The following is a 20,651-nucleotide window of genomic DNA, read 5'->3' as shown; positions in this document are numbered from 1 at the left end:
ACTTGAACCTGGGAGGTGGAGGTCACAGTGAGCCATGATCACGCCACTGTACTCCAGCCAGGGTAACAGAGCAAGACTGTCTCAAAGTAAATAAGGAAATGTATAAATAATAAAATAAAACACATTTATAGTGCTTTAAACATTTTTTCCCAATACATTTAATTTTTCCTCTGCAGTTCTTCTAGTCAATTATTTTTGAGTACTTGTATATTGTATAGTCATCTTAAAAGAGTTTCATTGAATTCATGCTCAGATTATCTTTTGTTTCAAATTTCCATAAAGTTAAATTAATTATCACAAGCGATGATATATGAGATAGAAATTGCTTAAGAATGCTTGCAGTTCTGTTGGAAAATCTTCCGGGAGTCCTGAGGGGTAGAATTAGGGGTAGGGGCAGCAAACTTCTGTGGGTCATGGAAGAGGATAATGGAGAGATTTTTGTGAAAGGATGGTCAAAAATTTCTCTCTCTGGCAATTTGATGGAAGAAAAGAAAGGTTAATTGAGATAATATGCACTCAGAGGGAAGCATATGCATTTTTGTTTGTTTTCAGCACTTGTCTAAAAAGAGCAAATTTAATCAAGCAATACTAAAGTGGTAAGATAACTAAATGATAAACCCAGTAGGAATATAGTAGGACTTCCTGTTACATTTTAATTGGTGAAAGTCACTGGAGGTTAATTTTAGGTCACAGATTACCATTGCTCCTTTCATTAAAACTGACATTTTGGTCAAAAGACTGGTGTTTTTATTTGTTAACATGAAAAATATGTGAAGCATCTTTATAGTGGAATGTAAAACACACTCTTATTCAAAGATTCATAAGAATGATATGAATTGTATCAGTATTGTGAAGCATAACATGATGTCATGATTTTACTTTTGTTATATGGTCTACCTACTGTAGTGTACTTAAAATTCTTTGTGTACTGAATGCAGGTGAGAACCAAAATTGCTTCAGTTTTGGGAAGATAACCAAATGTAGTGAATATGTTGATTCAATTTGTGAAATGTAGAGAACTTAATTTGAATGAATGCCCTAAAGCATTTTTTTTACTCAGCAAATCCCTAATGTGTTTCCGATGTGCGTATAGACCAGCTTTCTGGGAGTCATAGTCTGCTACAGCTCTTCCTTCACTTCCAACAGATAATCAGTGATGTGCTCCTTATCCCTTTTATTCCCCAAACAGCTGTTATAACCATGTCTTTGATTATTCTTTTTTGCTATAATAATTTGTGTTACCACTTATTCTCTCCTGACCATACTATTTTAACAACTTTCAGCTGGTCTCCTTTCTGTCTTAGCCTAATTCACACTGATGCCAGGATGATCTTTAGAAAACACAAGTATGATCCTGATACTCACCTGTTTGATATCTTCAGTGACCCTCATTACACACCACTTTTCTTAGTAAACCGTAAAAGGCCTTTCACAAATTTTTTTTACTTTTTCATCCTTATGCCTTCACCTCACACTCTAAATTACCTTGCAGGCTGCTTGCAGTTCTATGAACTACTCACATTGTTTCACATTTTCATGCTTTTGACCATACTTTATAGTCACATTATGGAATGCTCTTTTTAAAATAATAATAATGATATTATTAAAATAAGAATATGAATACTGTCACCAGCAAAAGCAGTGTTAGAAGATAAAGCTGTAACCATGTGTCAGACACTGTCTCATCTCTTCACCCTCATTTAGTTTTGTGACAATCCTATGAGGTACGCATAGGTGAGAAATCTGAGGCACAAGAAGTGTATGTAACATGTCCAAAGTCATGCATTTGACCCTGAAGGCTGTCCTCTAAGCTACATTACATTGCCTCTTCTTGCGTGAGACTCTATTCAAGCATCACCACTTCTGGGTTCCTTTCCACCCCGTACCTCTGCATCTCTCAGAAAAAGTAGACTGTTTCCTTGTTTGAATCTCTGCTGATTAACAGTGGTTAAACACTTAGGACATATAAGTGTTTATATGTCCTATATAATACATAGGACGTTATCACATTTACATTCTTCTGTCTTGCTTCACAAGGACAAGAATACTGTGTCTTTATATCTCATTCTTATATCTTTAGTGGTTGTCACATAGTCACAAGACAAAGGGATAAATGAATGCATGAATCGCTTAATTTTAAAGGTTTAGGGAACTTTAAAGGCCATCCATTTTAACCTCCGTATTTTATAGATGAAGAGCCTGAGGTGAGGTTAAGGGTATGTGATAAGAATACTAGACAACAATATGGATAGTTGACCAAAGTTAAGTTTTACTGGTCTTTATAGTGGTTAGTAACCCATTTATTTTACTCCAAAGCTTAATCAGAGGAACTGGTTTTATCGTTAATTGGGGGGTGTTTTAGGTATCATTGGCAGAGTCTGATTTAAGATACAGCATTTAACATACTCTGTTTGGAAACATTAATATGTTATATTTATTGTCAGTATGATGATTTATATGTTATATTTATTGTCACTATGATGCAGAAAGTTGTCTGAATTATATGCCTCCATAGGTCCTCTGAGTTCTTTCTAATGTCAGATATGAAGGTGTTTCTTTAAGAATTAGATTGGAAGGTCGTTAAGCATTCTAACATGAACCCTTAGTAAAACTGTATCCTGTAAAATATTCAGTAATTTTGCAAAAGTGTGTGTTTTCTCTTTTAACCTTGTGTTAAAGACTAGAAAATGTGGCAAAAATATTAAGTTTTGAATCTGGGAAGTAGATATATGGGGATTAACGATACTATTCTTTCTACTTTCTTATATATTTAAAATTATTATAATAAAAAATAAAAATAGAGTCTGAATGTTCTATCTCTATTTTGGCTATATAAAATGGGAATGTTCATTTGTAAATATAGATATTCATAGGAAACTCCATATCCTTTACAATTTCTTTCTGGACTTACACTACTATGGCAGAGTAAACAAGTAATTATGTATTTTTATTGACTTCATACAGATGAGATTAATTTTTTTCTGATAACTGGCTTTAGATAATGTCATGTTTTTAGCTGAAGATCAGTGATAGGAAACTCACAGCTTCCTGAGAGAAAAAGCCCCAAACAAGCTTACTTTTAGTTTTGTATTACAAAACAAAATAGATAATATTAGTCACCATTGTAGCTTGCATTTGTTTTGCAGCTATGATTTTTTTTTTTTTATTTCAGAAGTTCAATTTCTTTTACAGAAATCCACATTGAGGGTACTTTGATAGTAGATAGGGAACCAAAGGTAAATATTAATTATCTTATCCCACTTGTCTTATTTGCTGGTGAGTACACAAGTGCTCTTTTTAAGTGGTTTAATAAAGAGCTTTGTGTAAGCTAACACAAGTATTTAACACTTTTTGGTATTTAAAAATATACTTGTTCAGAAGTGGACAGAACAGGTAGATTTATCAGTGTTAAGATTTTGAATTAAAATTTATGGGGTTAATTCTATTAATATCCATTCTTACTTTAAGGGTTCTGATGACTGTCTTGTGAAAATATGGGCAACAGATGATGGGAGGTTGTTAGCTACCTTAAGAGGACATGCTGCTGAAATATCAGACATGGCTGTAAACTATGAGAATACCATGATAGCAGCTGGAAGTTGTGATAAAATGATCCGAGTCTGGTGTCTTCGAACCTGTGCACCTTTGGCTGTTCTTCAGGGCCATAGTGCATCTATTACATCACTACAGGTAATTGTCTTAATCCCTATACATTGTTGTTGTTGTTGTTGTTATAATGTAAAGTAAATTTAATGAAGTCACTTTTGGTTATTAAATTTTAAGAAGTTACTTTTATAATCACCTTTATAATCCAGTATATAAGGCCAACTAAAATGAAGACAGGAGTATGTCTGCTTTCTTTATAAATATATGGACTTTAAATAACATAACCTTGGTAAATTCTTGCCATTTTCTAACTGTTGTTGTTAGTTGCTATTTGTATGGCAAAAAGTAGATTTTATTTTGACTGTGTCACTCTTGTAAAGATTTTTTTTCTGTGATTGTCTTTTCAGTTCTCACCATTGTGCAGTGGCTCAAAGAGATATCTATCTTCTACTGGGGCAGATGGCACTATTTGTTTTTGGCTCTGGGATGCTGGAACCCTTAAAATAAAGTCAGTTTCTATTTTATTTCATAGATTAAATGTGTTTAGTTTAATGAGTGAAATTGCAAAAGTATAAAGTAGTCGACAATAGGAATACATTTACTTTTTCTCCTTGAGTAAATAATAGAAATCCTCTTTTGGCTCTTTACTAACCTGTTTTATTTTTATTCCTCCCCTTTTTTTATGTTTCAAAGAAAGTTTCTCATGTTCACATTTTTTTTCTCTTTATCCTAATCCTAGCTCTTTCCTTCAGCATTTACCTGTTTTATTACCACTCCTTTCTATGTGCTGCATAGTTTTAATAGCTGCTTTTGATGCTCAGAACTTAATCTTAAGAATTTCTAATGCTGTTCTTTAGAATAATTTTAATTATTGATGCTACTGAATCTATAAACTTTAGATTTTATTTTAGATCTAGGAAAATGTAGGGAGACAGAATCATTGAAGTTTCACTAAACTGCATCAAGGTAGATAGATGTATTCCCCTCCCTCCCCATAATAACATTTTGCATTTGTGCGGTCGCCCATATTAATACTTCGGTTTATCAAAACAAGTTGGCTGGATAGTATTATCTTTGGATTAAGGGCACTGAAATGGTTAAATGACTTTCCCATAGTTAAAACTATGTTTAAAAATTGGCAAGGCCAGGACTAGAGCACTTCTCTGCCCTTTGATGCTTTCTATACCATATCTTTTATTTATTTATTTATTTATTTATTTTTGAGACGGAGTCTCACTGTGTCGCCCAGGCTGGATTGCAGTGTCGCGATCTCAGCTCACTGCAAGCTCTGCCTCCCGGGTTCACACCATTCTCCTGCCTCAGCCTCCCGAGTAGCTGGGACTACAGGCGCCCGCCACCACTCCCGTATAAGTTTTTTGTATTTTTAGTAGAGACAGGGTTTCACCGTGTTAGCCAGGATGGTCTCCATCTCCTGACCTCGTGATCCGCCCACCTCGGCCTCCCAAAGTGTTGGGATTACAGGCATGAGCCACCGTGCCCAGCCTCTATACCATATCTTTTAAGTGGATGTAGTGGGGAGAGGAAATAGTGTATTTGCTCCATGGATAGTCTTTGAACAAGAAAGTAGTGTATTCAATTGATTATTCAGTTGATTTCACAGTGTTGAAATGGCCATTTCTGCCACTCGGGGTGGAAAGTCATTCAGATTAGAAGGTATATATCAGTAATTATCTCTGACTGCTATGTATAAATTAGCAACCCAAGTTGAGTTATTTAATAAAATAATATATGTATGCCTTTGTTATTTTAAAAACAGTAGTGTTTAGATAATTGTTTGTAATGCAACACATGCTTCTTTAACTTCATGTATATGAACATTCTTGTAGAGTGGTTCTTATGGCAGCTTGGGGGCCATGGTAGCTCGAGTAACAAAACTACTTCATTTGAAAAAAGATTGTGATTTAAAACATGGTTCTTTGGACAAAGCAAGTTGACTTCACTTCAGTTGCATCCCTCGTATTTAAAGTCTTTCTGTAGATAGATAAAAGTTGAAATATTTTACTGATGTATATGGACAGTAGCAATAGTTAATTGTTAATTGTTGCTACTGTTTTTTAACCTCCTCATGGACCTGATGGGGATACCTTTCTCTTTTCCTGTCTTATTGTTTTAGAGAAGAAAAAGTGATTAGCAATGTTCAAATTGGGATAGGAACAGAAAATGTTTTACAGAATTAAACTCACACCTTATTTGTGCTTCTTGAGGATTTTATTGCTAAGTACAATAACATTTCATGTTTCTGGATGCTTGAGAAGTAAGCTTGTCCATATAAATGATTTTTTCAGAACCTTTATGTAGAATCACATATAAACCACTACCCTAATACAGTATTTTTTCTCCATGAATGTTTTTATATAGATATAATTAGGAATATATATATAATTTTGTTTTCTTAATATTTTACCATAGATATTTATATGTATTTTAATAGCTTGCATTATGTTCAATAGAGTTGTTATATACAACTTAGTAATTTTTTTATTTTTGGACTTCAAAGTTTTTTCTAGGTATTTATAAGTAATATTCTTTCCTATTCCTATATTCTTTCCTATTCTTGTCCCTTAAAATTTTTAAATTCAGAGTTCAGGCATAAGAATGAGTACTCTGGCTGGGCACAGTGGCTCATTCTTATCTAATCCCAGGACTTTGGGAGGTCAAGGAAGGAGGATCACTTGAGTTCAGAACTTTGAGACCAGCCTAAGTAACAGAGCAAGATCTTGTCTCTACAGAAATTCAAACAAACAAACAACAACAACAACAAACGCCAGACATGGTGGTACACACTTATAGTCCCAGCTACTCAGGGGTCTGAGGTGAGAGGCTTGCTTGAGCCCAGGAGTTAAAGGCTGAAGTGAGCTGTGATCTCACCACTGTACTGTAGCCTCTGCGACAGGGCCAAGATCCTGTCTTATTAAAAACACAAAAACAAGAACAATCCATTGCTCTTTAGATATAAGCCTTGGAACACCTATTTTCTTTATGTGTTTACACATAGTTGAAAACTGCCAAAAATTTGGCAGGATATAGATTTATACTGTTTATGTCACATAGGATTTAATTAATAATCAAAGGCAAAAATTGTATTTAGCTATAATGCTTTTGTATATTCTGCTGGGGGAAATGACTTTAGAAATCCTGCATCTGCATTAGTTGAATGAATCAATTCAACTTTGGGAACTCAAATATCTTTATAAATTCACTTGTATGTGTGTATTACCAACTCACGAGCAAAGATGCTGTTTCTTAAATGGGTAGTCTAAGTGGCTAAGTGAACCATAAGCTAGCTCCAGAGGTCTCTGGGTAGGAGGAAGCTGTCCAAGTATATTTAGACTTAGGTGTAAAGAGACTAGGAATCCTAAAATATGCATATAATATGATGATTACAAATTTTTATTTGTGATTATTAGGCGCTTAGTCTGCCAAGCTAGTACTAAGCATTTCACATTTGTTATCTCAATCCCTATAACAACCCTTTGAGAAAGGTACAGTTATTATCTCTGGGGCAGATAAGGGAAAAACCTGGGGCACAGCAGGTTACATTGTTAGCAGGTGGTACTGGAGCCAGGATTTAAATACTACTAGAGGTATAATGTCAGAAACCCCTTTTAACCACTGTGCCAAACTAAGTGGCAGTTAGTCATTGAAGGATTGGCTAGAACTTGTTGAACCTAATAAAAATACTAATATTTATTGAGCATATTGGACATTGTACTAAGCACTTTACATGTATCACACTCATTTAATTCTCCCAGCAACTCTGAAATAGGTTCCGTTTTACCCCTGTTTTACAGATGAGGATACTGAGGTACAGAAATGTTAACTTGGCCTAAGGTCGCACTCTTGATAAGTGATAGACCTAGAAACTGAACTCGGCCCAAGGCCCTTTTTAAAAATGTTTCCTCAAATAATGCATCTAAAAACAAATTATGGGTAGCTACTTGTTTTTTCCCTTTAAAAATATAAAATCTTTTTATTTTTTAATTTTAGTTTTTGTGGGTATGTAGTAGGTGTATATATTTATGGGGTACATGAGATCTTTTGATACAGACATGCAATGCATAATAATCACATGGTGTTAAAGGGGGTCTCCATCCCTTTAAGCATTTATCCTTTGTATTACAAATTATCCAATTACACTCCTTTAGTTATTTAAAAATGTATAACTACTATTGATTATAGTTACCCTGTTGTGCTATCAAATACTAGGCCTTATTCATTCTTTCTATTAGTTTTGTACTCATTAACCATCCCCACCTCCCTCCTCTTCCTCCCACTACCTTTCCCAGCCTATAATAGCCATCCTCTACTATCTCATGAATTCAACTGTTTTGATTTTTAGATCCCCAAAATAAGTGAGAACATGTGATGTTTGTCTTTCTGTGCCTGCCTTATTTCACTTAGCATAATAACCTCCAGTTCCATCTGTGTTGTTAGAAATGACAGGATTTCATTCTTTTTTTATGGCTGAATAGTACTCCATTGTGTATAAGTACCACATTTTCTTTATCCGTTCATCTGTTGTTGGACACTGTGGTTCCTTCCAAATCTTCACTATTGTGGCGGGGCGTGTTGGCTCACGCCTGTGATCCCAGCACTTTGGGAGGCCAAGGCAGGCAGATGACCTGAGGTCAGGAGTTTGAGACCAGCCTGGCCAACATGGTAAAACTCCTGTCTCTACTAAAAATATAAGAATTAGCCGGGCATGGTGGTGCACACCTGTAATCCCAGCTACTTGGGAGGCTGAGGCATGAGAATCACTTGAACCTGGGAGGCAGAGGTTGCAGTGAGCTGAGATAGCGTCACTGCATTTCACCCTGGGTGACAGAGTGAGCCTCTGTCTCCAATAAAAAAGTAACTTGTAGTGCTTTATTAAATTTATTGGTTAATCAAAATAATTCACCAGTGTGTAAAGAGAAGTGTCTAAAAATAAGTAACATTAGCAATGACAAAGACTCAAATGATGGTCCATCAGGTTCCAAAGCATCTATGTGTGTGTGTTTTCCATTAAACTAACCTTACTGATTTGCTTTAAACCTAAACAAGTAAACAAACACATAATTACTTACATTGTCACACTAATTTAATACTTTAAAATATAATTTCATTGCTTTTGTCATTTGGCTGTAATTTAACTTATAAAATTTTAAGTTGAGGCAGGAGAATCACTTGAACCTGGGAGGCAGAGGTTGCAGTGAGCTGAGATTGTGCCATTGCACTCTAGCCTGGGCCACAGAACGAGACTCCGTCTCAAAAACCAAAAAACCCACAAATCTTCGCTATTGTGAACAGTGTTGTAGCGAACATGGGAGTGCAGATATCCCTTCAATATACTGATTTCCTTTCTAAAATAAAAACCTTTTAAAAATGGTAGTTTATAGGACTATTTGCATATTTTTGTAATGAGTTTCAGGTAAATGGTTGCTTGGAACTTATGTGAGCAGATGTACCAAAAATTAAAAAAAATCTAGAGCTATAATCCATAAGGTAGTAATGAAAGCAATGCATTTAGTTGCCTTCATAATTCAGATTAATTTACTTAAATTACAGTTAATTTTGCTCTGAATAAATGTTTAGGTTTTAAGAATGTTCTAATATCTGTCTCTCTAAATGAGATTTGTTCTGCTCATCTGTTACATTAGAGCCTGTGAATATTAATAGAATTTGCTGTAAATACTAATGTAAAACTATTTACAAACTTATTTTTTAAATTCTTAACATTTTGTTGCATTCTGTATCAGTAAAAAAGATAATTCTCTTTGCTCAGAATATATATTAGGTTGGTGCAAAAATAATTGCAGTTTTTGCCATTATTTTAATGGTAAAAAGCTTTTTTTTAAAAAAAAGGCAAAACCGCAATTATTTTTGCACCAACCTATAGCTCAGAAATATTTTATGTATATACTTTTTTCCAGTAAATGATCACAAAACTAAAACTGCTCTAAATTTGTTATATATTGTGAAAGTTATATAGGCTTAAGCTCTAATTATTTTTGCATTTCATCAAATAGTGTAGAAGAACTATGCCAAAATGTACAGTAAGTAGGGCTTCAAATATAATCAGTATATTGGAACATTACATACACATTGTTAAATGTATTAGAGCTGGTGTCATGATAAAAATCTTCATTTTCTCTAATTGGTTGACTGTAACATTAAACATTTAATATCAGTAGTATTGATATAAAATATGTAATCTGTAATACAGTTAGGCAATTAATGTAAATACAGCTGTGTGTAACCTGTTTTCTGTAGACTGCTATTTTGAATGAGCATTCATTGTAGTTGACGTAAGAGTCAAAGTATCTTCAGATTTTCACTAGGTTAAATGTAATATCCCTACTTTTTGGGGTCTTAAAAGACATGTTTTATCACATTAGTAGGTCAAAGAAGGGAAAAGCTTAATTAATGTAAAATACTGAAAAAGTTCAGTTATTGATGGTATACATAAGGCACAGACAGCACCTATTTTGCTAATGTATTCATGTTTGCGAATAGCTTAGTTCCTTATATGTTTGTACGTTGCTATTCTATATGAAAAACTGAGAACATGTTAAATTTGATTAGAAGTAAGTGTAACTAGTAACTGCATGTCTGGTGTGACAGTGAATTTGGAATTGTTCCATGTACGTATTGTTGTGTAATAAGGAGCTCCTACAAAATCTATATCTAGAATTTCTACAAGATCTTCTGATTTATGACACATAATGATTTCTAAGTTGTTTTTAGGAAGGGAGCCATCTGTTGCTTCTTAATTTTGTCCTTCTGGGATTATTTTTTGAAACAGATTATTTCTGCTGCTACTGGTTCCTTTAGGATATTTTTAATTCTTTATTTTTTGTATTACAGCCCAAGACCTGCAAAATTTACAGAGCGCCCTCGGCCTGGAGTTCAAATGATCTGTTCTTCTTTTAGTGCTGGTAAGTTTCCCTCATTCTAATTTTCGACTTAAAGTTGTTCATTTAGAAGCCTTATAGTGGAGTGTGTAATATTTAGGAAAATATTTACTGTTGTATTATCAATCATGTTCTTATACATATGCCAGAGCTAATAAGTAACTGAGAATTATTATAAACTAACTTAGAAATATTTCATTTATGCAAGAGTTTAGTTTATATAATCACATGACTGTTTTTCTTTAAGAAGACTATAATGTTCTAGTAGGAGAGAATAAATAGTTTCAAAATCGACCCTGTTAAAGAATGAATGTTTAAATAGTTGTTTCATTGTAAGAATGGTATTTTAAATCTGGTTTATGTTTTCATGGATTTTGAAGGTATTCTATAGTTAAGTAAAATAAATTTGATTCATATTTGTACATCTTTATCAGTTAATTCGCTACATATTGTTCTTATTTGCACTTTAAAAAGTGATTGTATAGCAGTGCTAAGATTCCAATTCAGATTTGTGTTTATGCAGCAGCATTTTGAATGGATGTTAGGGTATTTTTAAACAAGTTATAAAAAAAATCTGGTTATTTGTAGTAAATTGATAAGAAAATTAAATGAAACATGAGTAGATCCAAATAGTGTCTAATACCTGTTCCTCCTACCTTTATTTTCAGTTTTACTTTTTCCGCTCATTTTATAATTGTGGATAGGAGTATTACCTGAGATAAGGGATAGCAAACTAATGAAGTGAGTCTGTCTTTGCCATACTAATATCCAAACATGTTCATTTTCTAACTTCTAGATGTTCAGTGCCACTGCCATGGATTCAGTATTCCTTGTAGTAGTCATACAAATATAGGCATCATACATGCATCCAGAATACTCTGAATTTTTACTCCTTTTTCAAGGACAATTTGATTTTTTTAAGGGGTTAGTGGGTAGATCATTTAGCAAAAGTACTTAAATATTTTATTATATACAGGTATTGTTTTCAATACTGTGGAAGAGTGTTACTCTTGAGTACACTGCATATACAAATAACTGTAATGCAAGGTAGAATGAATATGCTACAAAACAAAGTCTTAGGGGAGTTCTGAAGAGAGCAGCCTCATTTAATTGCAAAGTTTGTAAAGAAAAGTTACTGAGGGAGTTGGGCCTTAAAAGTTTGATAAGATTTTGACACATGGGAAATGAGACAACAGAAAAATTTCAGCAGAATTGCGAGAGAAATATTTTCTAGTGAAGGTGACTGATAATTTTAACATGGTATGGTTATATATTCACTTAGTGAAATTATTTTTTGAGCAAAGCTTTACTTCTATAAATATTGAAAAATTCATTCTAGTCAGATATATTCATAAACTTCTTTCTTAAATTCCAGTTAGATGTGTTATATATTTAGGATAAATGTGAATGGTTTTGGAGTAAAATATTAATTCAGTATATACTGTAATTTTGCTTACATTTTATTATCTAATTTTCAGAGATTTTGAAGTTATGTTTTACTTCTTAACAATTGCTGTTATTCTTCATAGGTGGAATGTTTCTGGCGACGGGAAGCACAGATCATATTATTCGGGTTTATTTTTTTGGATCAGGTCAGCCAGAGAAAATATCAGAATTGGAGTTTCATACTGTAAGTATTGGTGAAAAGAATTAGATGAGTATAATTTATGTGAGTCCAAGAGTTTATATTCAGCACCCACTTTTTTGTTTATTTGTTTATATATAGGACAAAGTTGACAGTATCCAGTTTTCCAACACTAGTAACAGGTAAAATATTTGTCTAATTTAATTCTAATTTTAAAATTATGAAATAAAGACAATTTTAGTCATCAGATTTTATTTGAAGCTGTATAGGAAATAATCACCTACCTAAAAGATCTTGACCAGTTATACTTAAAAGTGAATATAGCCTTCACATGCATAGGCACGTCTTTCTCTTATTTGTAATAATGTTAGTATACTTGGACACTTTTAGTAATTACTGCTTTTTAAATCACCCTATATATTCCAGATATGTTTCAAAATGTAGAGAAGCTTTTGGTATAGATTGAAAATGTATCACAGTATAATATTTAAGGCAGACCTGTTTATTGATGATATTGTATAAATTTTCCCATGTTCTTGTTATAAAAGGAAATAAAGCTACTTCTAATACCTTGAGTAGAATAAGTCAGATTCTTTAATATTGAGAAGAAAATCATTGTTTTTTCCTTGGAAAATGTCGATTTTATTTCTAGGGTAGTACATAGTGACCTTGAATCACTTTTGAAAATGTTATTTTGTGACCTAGCCATGAAAATTGGAATGTTTGCATATAAAATTCTAAAAAGCCCATAAAGTTTCAGAAGTTATTAGAATGCTGCATAAATAAAGATGAATGCTGTCTTTTTAAACAAGATCTCTGGGAAAAGTGCATTTTGGTAAAGCATGTATGATTTTTCTTTGGGGGATCGGATTCCTTTTAATACAGGTTTGTAAGTGGCAGTCGTGATGGGACAGCACGTATTTGGCAATTTAAACGAAGAGAGTGGAAGAGCATTTTGTTGGATATGGCTACTCGTCCAGCAGGGTAAGAGGTCAAATTTGAAATATTATGTATATATTGATTTTTTAAAGTATGTTATAGTGCAGGTTGGTGACTCTCAGCCTATAAAATTATATATCATGTTAAAATTACTACTTTTCTGCGATAACTAGAGGTACAATTGGAGATGAGCAGTGTTGATTTTTATGAAATGATTCATTGGCATATTTCAGGACATTGCATTAATTTTTTTAAGGAGATGATAAAAGTACTGTAAGAAAAGTTTTAACTTTAAATATTTTTTTCAGAAACCAGAACATATTATGTTTCGTTTATCACAGAGGGACAATATTTTATGTCCAATGGTTTCTTCAAGCCAAGATAAATTAAACTGCGTGTTGTAGCTGTTATTTTGGTTTTAATATTTTTCTCCACTTGTATTTGTGTGTAGTCATCTCAGATGGATGGGAAAGCAGAACAGTCAGCAGGGGATGACAGCAACAGTAAAAGATGGAGAGTGAGCAGCATGGCACAGAATTCCTGGATCTAGATAGAGTTATAGCAGTGATATTTATGCAAGATCATCTTACTAATGGCTTAGAAGTGCTAGAATTCTGGAAATCCTGGATTTCCTGACTCAGTGCAGGGATTTTTACCATCATTCCATGTTGATTCAAACTTCTCAGTTACTGTTAAGTGATAGTTATTATGTTAGTGAATATAAATACTAATTATAGATTATATGTTTTGGTTTTTGTTGTGTCAGTATTTTAATAGTCAGTGTAAAACACTTCCTCACTTTCAGCCAAAACCTTCAAGGAATAGAAGATAAAATCACAAAAATGAAGGTTACTATGGTAGCTTGGGATCGACATGACAATACAGTTATAACTGCAGTTAATAACATGACTCTGAAAGTTTGGAATTCTTACACTGGTCAACTAATTCATGTCCTGATGGTGAGAAAAAATTCTAATCTTTATTTGATATAACTGAAGCTGACTATAGAATGAAACATTCTCATTGAGGAATAAAGTCTTTTATGTTAGCTAAAAACTCTTGCTTGCTGGGGTAACGGCTTTGTGAGTGATTGGGAATAATTTTAACAGTGCAGTTAAACAGGTTTGGCTTGGAAATATATAGTAGATATTTGCTGTTTTTTTAATATGAAAAGATCCATCCACCAAGCCCTGGACAATGATATTAGCTCAGTTTCATTATTATATATACATGACAAATTTGAAGATTTTTGCCAATTTAATACTTCTTAAAACTCCATTTCTAGAAATAGTGCCATATTGGTATTTCATTATGTTTGTTTTTCTTTCTTTTTTAATATCTATGATTCTTTGACACTTCAAAAATATTTCAGGGTCATGAAGATGAGGTATTTGTTCTTGAACCACACCCGTTCGATCCTAGAGTTCTCTTTTCTGCTGGTCATGATGGAAACGTGATAGTGTGGGATCTGGCAAGAGGAGTCAAAATACGATCTTATTTCAATATGGTAATTATCATTCTCTTCATTTTATACCTACTAAAGATTTGGGAGCTTTTTGACAAAGGTACTCTGCATGTCACAAAGGAAATCCATTTAAAAATTGGTTCATTATTTTGACTTTAAATTCCCATCAATAAAGAATGATTTATTCCACACTTTTATTGACATGCTGAATTTAAAAGAAAATTAATTGTGCATATTACAGTGCCTGTACATTGTGATAACTGATACAGTTTTATCAGTTTTAGCAGTGAAACTTTGGAAATTCACAAGTATGAAGATACAATATAGAGAAGAAAAAATACTTGGAAAACCATGTGAAGAAATTATAAATAAATACTCGTATTATTGTACTTGTTTAATAGTCTTCTAGCACAATAGAATTTTACTCAAGTACACTGATTTTAAAATTAAGGCCAAAGAATCAAGCATTTCTTGCTTTTAATCAATTGGTAGTATATTAAATATTTGAGTTTATACTCTTCTCTTCACATTTTGTTTCTTAGATGTTAACATAATTGGCCAAGTATTTGAATTACAATGTTTTAATATATCACATACAACTTACCGAGCAGTGTTTCTATTTACTGTATGAAGTATTAAGGTCTCCTCAACTACTGCAGTTTGTGTAGTCATATTTTTTAAATGTCTACTTTCTGTATATTAGAGATACCTTTCAACAAAGAACAAAAGAAAAAACAGTTTCCACTATTTCAGCATGTTTAAATTTTTTTAAAAAACCAATTATAGAAATCTTTAGTAATGAACCATAAAACAATACAATTAGTACATGTGGTCAGAATTATTTTGCCAAATAAATTATTTCACAAAACAGTTGTGAAACATGGTTTGTGAAAAAATTACACGAATGTGATGCTATGCTTGATTGATAATCAGAGTAAAGTTATTTCTATGTCGTGAGTAAGCAGATATAATAGCAGATTTTTTAGTGAGGGAAATAGCTTTAGCTATCTTTAAGGCTGTGCCTTAGAATACATTAGGTAAGAAATAAGGTTTGTAAAACCCTCTATTTCTAGAAAACAGTGTTAATTATTTGGTGTGCACTTGTTAGTGATGGATGGATTTCCTTTGTGATTGTATTGAGATTTTTTTAAAAAGCCACCTGTAAATATGCTAGTAAAAAATATTTTCTGCTTTTCTATCCTTGTGTTTCTGATTTGCTCCTTTTTGGAATATCTGTTGAATAAGGAAATTAGTCATTTCTCAATCTGTCTTTATAGCTTAAAAAAAATAATATGTGAGCTATATATATACTAGTGGCTTCATTTAGTAGTTTTGTATTTCCAAAGGACATTATTATATTGGTAGAGTGTTTGGAGGGAAACTTTTCTCCCATAATTGAATACCGCTTTAACTTTTCAGTTATATAAAGGTGAATTTTCCCTTATCAGGTAAGTTGGTCACACTAATATTCTACCTTTTCAGTAGATAACAAAAACTGCAGCACCTTGAGAGTTAAGTGATTTGCTCTTAGACCATTAAAAATTAGTAATGTAACCAGGAGTAGAAGTCAGCCATAATATATTGTATATTTTTAAAAATTAGCTGAGGGATTGGTTACATTACTGCCTTAAAAATTGTTTATTGTTAAATAAGAGTGTTAGATGAGGATATTTTTCTGGTTCTTTTTATGGATAAGAGATAGGAAAACTCTAAAGAGCAGAAGAAACAAATACATGTAATAAGTTGAATTGGATAGTATTCATAGAATTGCAGACAGTGAGCAAAACATAAACCAAAAAAGCTAAAAAACAGAAAGTGAGCCACCCTTCATCTCATTAAAATAAAGATACTACCTTTAATTTTTTGTATGATGTTTAATGGTTTCCAAAATGCTCCCACATATTTTACCTCCTTTGGGTCTCATGAAAACCTTGTAAGATGATCAAGATAGATTTTATTATTCTTGGTCTTAGGAATGGAGAAACTGTACATTACAGAGATAAAGTGCTTTGCCCCAATTTACTGAGTTCACACAGCTATTATGCGGGCACTTGGAGCATAAACCCATGACTCTGGTTGTACTCAAATCTTGTCATGGTTGGCTTTTTGAGCTTTTGTCAATGTTACTGCATAGCTAACTTTTAACAATACTCAGTTAGTGATATGTCTATGAAGAAATGTTTTCATAATGGTAATAAATCTGAGTGGATCTTTTGACATCTTACTCTTTAACTTGATTTTTTTTCCTGTCTGTCTTTTATGAGTTATCTAATTGCCCTAATTCTTTTTGCTCTTCACTCTTTTGTTCTTTTCATTGCTTGTTTTATTTATGGGCAAATGGAAGATAAAGCATCCAGCATTGCTATTAAGAAAATAAAGAGAAACAATTCGAGGGAGGGCCTGCGTTCTCACTGCTTGCTATCATGAATGTTGAGTTTTGGCTATAATTATAGCTATTTGGCTCTCTGTAGCTAATCAATAAGTTTTTCAGTTACTAAAATACCACGATACTTGATTGCATACAAATTTAATCCCTAATGTTAAGTTGTAGTAGTAATCACAAGTTCAGTTTAGTAAATATTTTTTGAGCACCATGTGAAGGGTCTAGTCATATATAGTGCTTTGGTCTATTAGAGGATGAAGAATTCTGGTGGAATACTCCTTTTTTGACTAGAAATGGTGAAAGTTATGTGAAGTATTTTTAAGATTAAATAATATTTCATGTGACTGTTAAAACTGAAGTTTATAAAACAGATAAGTAAACTCACCATTCCACCTACAGCTAGAAAATAAGGAATGTAGACTATACCTTTAGAATAACAGTTTTAGTACAAATTTCTTAAATACTGGTTTTTATCAAGTATATTTTAAGAATACTTTAATATTTCTCCTGCTTTTTGAATAATAATTGAATTTTCCATTGGAAATTTATACCTTTGCAAAAGATAATGGAAATCATGTAACATATAATTTAGTATTTTGTATTCATCAGCATTTTACTGCATTTTTTGTGTAATTATGGAAATGTAAATTCTTTTTTTGAAATTTTAGAAATAGCCAAAAATCCTGTTATGTTAAAAAGCCTTTCAAGTGAAAAGGTGAACTTTCAAATGCCTGTTTGATACATAGTAATTACATTTTAATAATTTTTAAATATAAGATTATAAAACATTAATATTTTAATATTGCACTGATAGTCATCATTGTAATAAGTATTCTAATTTTTTTCTGTATCAAGCCATGACTTATACTTTTAAAAATTTCTTGTGCTTTATTTTGGGACCATCTAAATTTGTCAGCAAATTAAAGAGTTTGAGATTGGGAATTGAGATAAAGCTATTTAGTTCTTTTATGTTTAAATAATTTACTTCATTCTGAAATCTTATAAATGGATTCTCAACTTTCAAGTAGTATTCTCCAGAGAAACTGAGGGGTTTATTTTTCTTGTTTTTACTGCTAACTTTCCTCCTAATAGAGGATCTCAATGATAAAAGCAGTTGGGGAGTGGGTGCTGGGTTTGTTTTTGTTACTTATAAGAAGTATATGACACGTGAGATGATGTTTTAAAAGAGGCTAACATAGGGCATGAAATGGAATAGACAGTATATGTAGCTTGTACTCCCCCTACCCTTTCTGTTGTCTCATCTTTAACTAAAAACTTTTAAAAGCACTTATTGGGAAAGCCTTTGTGGTTCTTTTTGTTGTTGTTGTTTTTCTTTTTTAAGTGAACAGGAGAAGAAACCAAAGAGAATTTTGTAGAAAATATTATGAGACAACTTTATTCTTTAAAAACAAACAAACTACATTCTAGGCCTTCAGTACTTTTATTTCTTTACGAATCAACTGAACAGTCCTTACATAACTTGAGTATTCAGAGGAAATGTAGTATATATTTGGATATTTTACTGAAGCAAGTAGTGTATATTAAGAATATTCCAAACTATAATAGTTGGGTATAACTTAGTAAGCCCACATTTGTTTGGCATTGGCAGGAGGTAAACATCAGAATAGCTTTGTTTTGATGAGAGTTGTTCTAAACTCTAAAGGCTCTATACTCCCATTAAATGCTAAAAGGCAGATAAATAATTCCCAGAAATAGCTTGAAAATGTGTGCAACTCTCAGGACTGAAGCTGAGGGCCTTCTGTGAAAGAGGTCGCCAGGTTTAGAAGTTAATTATAACCTTAAATGTTCCTAAATATAAATTGTTTTATGGTCTTTTATTCCCCATTAAATTAGCACCGGACAGCTAAGTTTTAACTACGAGTTTAACTAAATGAATATTAAATTAATTTGAAAAGATAGAGACTTTTCACATTTCTTAGTACTAGGCCATTTGAATATTAAATAGTAAATAAGAGATGCTTGGAGTTGAATTTGTAGACCCCATGTTTTTAGTAGCTTTCCTCATGTTTCTGGCGGTTTTGCTTTATTTCTCTTACTCTTTCTTTTCTCTATAGCCCTAGCTGTGTCTCTATCTCTCTTTCCATATCTTTCTATTTCTGTCATTACTCAAAGCTGTAGTTTGTTGCCTCCTGTCTGGTTTTCATTTTAATCAAAGAGTATAGTATGTCTCTTAATAGAAAGCAGTTTTACTGAATTTGATTTTTGCTTTACTTTGTTGTTTCATGGGTAAATTCCAAATAAGTTTTTATTTGATTAAAGTTTTCCTTATTTTTATAATTGTTCTCTTAACCTTTCTTTTACTTAAGAGATTTTTTTAAAAAAAAAAAGTTCCAGTGTCCACTAATCCAGAACAATATATTTCTCCTTGCAACGTTCCAAACGAGCAGAGGCTGCCAATCTACCACCCAGAATTTTTGTACATGCATACTTCTTCTGATGTTAACATGTTCTCAGTGTGACCTGTACTTTAGTTTTAGATAATTGTAGCTGTATGTATCTAGGAAAGGGAGAAAGAGAAGCTCAAAATAGGTACAGCTCATATTGTGTTATCTCTTATTAATCAGGAGAAGAGTCTCTCTCTTTCTCTTTCTTTTCTTTTCTCCCTCACCCAACCCTCCCTTTCTCCCTCCCTCCCTTCCTCCCTTCTTTCCTTCCTTCTTTCTTCCTATCATCATCTAACAAGATAATGTCCTATATTTATACTCTCTGTGTTAAAAGGACTCTCTGATGCTTCCAGTCTATGTTTCAGCTTCTTTGGGTAAGGAAGTACTTTCGGTCTTCTTACCATACACTTTAGTAATTATCACTTTCAGGTTTTAAGATTCTTTAGATTATATCTCTCTTATATATATATATCTTGGTACAAAAGGCATGTTAATCTGTTGCCATGAATGTGAGTTTGTCTCTCCAGCTTCTCACACTGCATTATATGTGGTAAATTACTTTTATGTAGTAATTCTTTGACATAGTCCATGACTTGCTATCACAAGGGTATTTGAGATTTGATAGTTATATGAGAAGGTATATGAAATTATACAGAATTTAAACATGCAGATGAAAACATTTTAACAAATATTTGAGTGTTTTCTTTTGTGTTAAGCACAAAATATGAGGACCACAAGGGAGAATAAGACGTGGTCTTTTTAGTCAGCCTACAGTTAAGTTGGGGAGACAAAATATACAAAATATACCTTAAGGGATAAATATTGATAAATAATTTCAAACAGTAGCATGACAAATGAGAAAAGACAGTTGCTGTATCTTAAGATGTAGAGATCATTGTCAGGGTGGACGATTGGAGACGTTTTGTTGAGGAGAAGGAATTGAAACTATGCCTTGAAAGATAAATAGGAATCGAGTCAGTAAGAAAGAGAATGAATTTTATAAACAAGAGGAACATTATAAAAAGCTAAGTGTCAAGACATGTTCATAGAAATTTAGATATTTAGGAAGCTTGATTGCAGTAGATTTTGGAAATAATGACGAAAAACAAATTGAGATGAACTGTCAGTGACTTCAAATGATCTCATAGGCATAAATACCTATGAACCTTGTGGGGGCTTTAGTAAATTATTTTATAGGATGGTCGAGAAGCTAAGAGAAAAATAGTTTGGTTGCCAGTAGTACAATTTCAGGTATGAAATTGAATAAGTGTGAGGACAACTACTTTAATTAGTCATGAAATATTATAGGGGTAGTTGGTAGGAAATTTGTAAAGAAAAAAATACATAAATGACT

General features: G+C 32.6%; 1 protein-coding gene and 1 long non-coding RNA gene across 5 annotated transcripts in view; one reads left to right on the top strand and one right to left on the bottom strand.

Moving 5' to 3' along the window:
* The window catches only part of PHIP (PHIP subunit of CUL4-Ring ligase complex), a 143,836-nt gene that overhangs the window by 48,622 nt on the left and 74,563 nt on the right, over positions 1-20,651 (top strand). For all 4 annotated transcript variants that reach the window (XM_005248729.6, NM_017934.7, XM_011535918.4 and 1 more), the window contains 8 exons: positions 3,469-3,690; positions 4,014-4,114; positions 10,474-10,544; positions 12,050-12,150; positions 12,247-12,287; positions 12,991-13,089; positions 13,850-14,003; positions 14,417-14,551. In XM_005248729.6, the coding sequence (XP_005248786.1) occupies positions 3,469-3,690; positions 4,014-4,114; positions 10,474-10,544; positions 12,050-12,150; positions 12,247-12,287; positions 12,991-13,089; positions 13,850-14,003; positions 14,417-14,551 (924 nt within the window). The remainder of the gene's footprint in view (positions 1-3,468; positions 3,691-4,013; positions 4,115-10,473; positions 10,545-12,049; positions 12,151-12,246; positions 12,288-12,990; positions 13,090-13,849; positions 14,004-14,416; positions 14,552-20,651) is intronic.
* The window catches only part of LOC124901346 (uncharacterized), a 73,415-nt gene that overhangs the window by 47,634 nt on the left and 5,130 nt on the right, over positions 1-20,651 (bottom strand). The window lies entirely within an intron of this gene.

The sequence above is a fragment of the Homo sapiens genome, chromosome 6 (assembly GCF_000001405.40).
Source record: "Homo sapiens chromosome 6, GRCh38.p14 Primary Assembly".
In the NCBI taxonomy this organism is placed as follows: Eukaryota; Metazoa; Chordata; class Mammalia; order Primates; family Hominidae; genus Homo; species Homo sapiens.
This window is presented reverse-complemented; position numbering and strand designations above follow the sequence as displayed.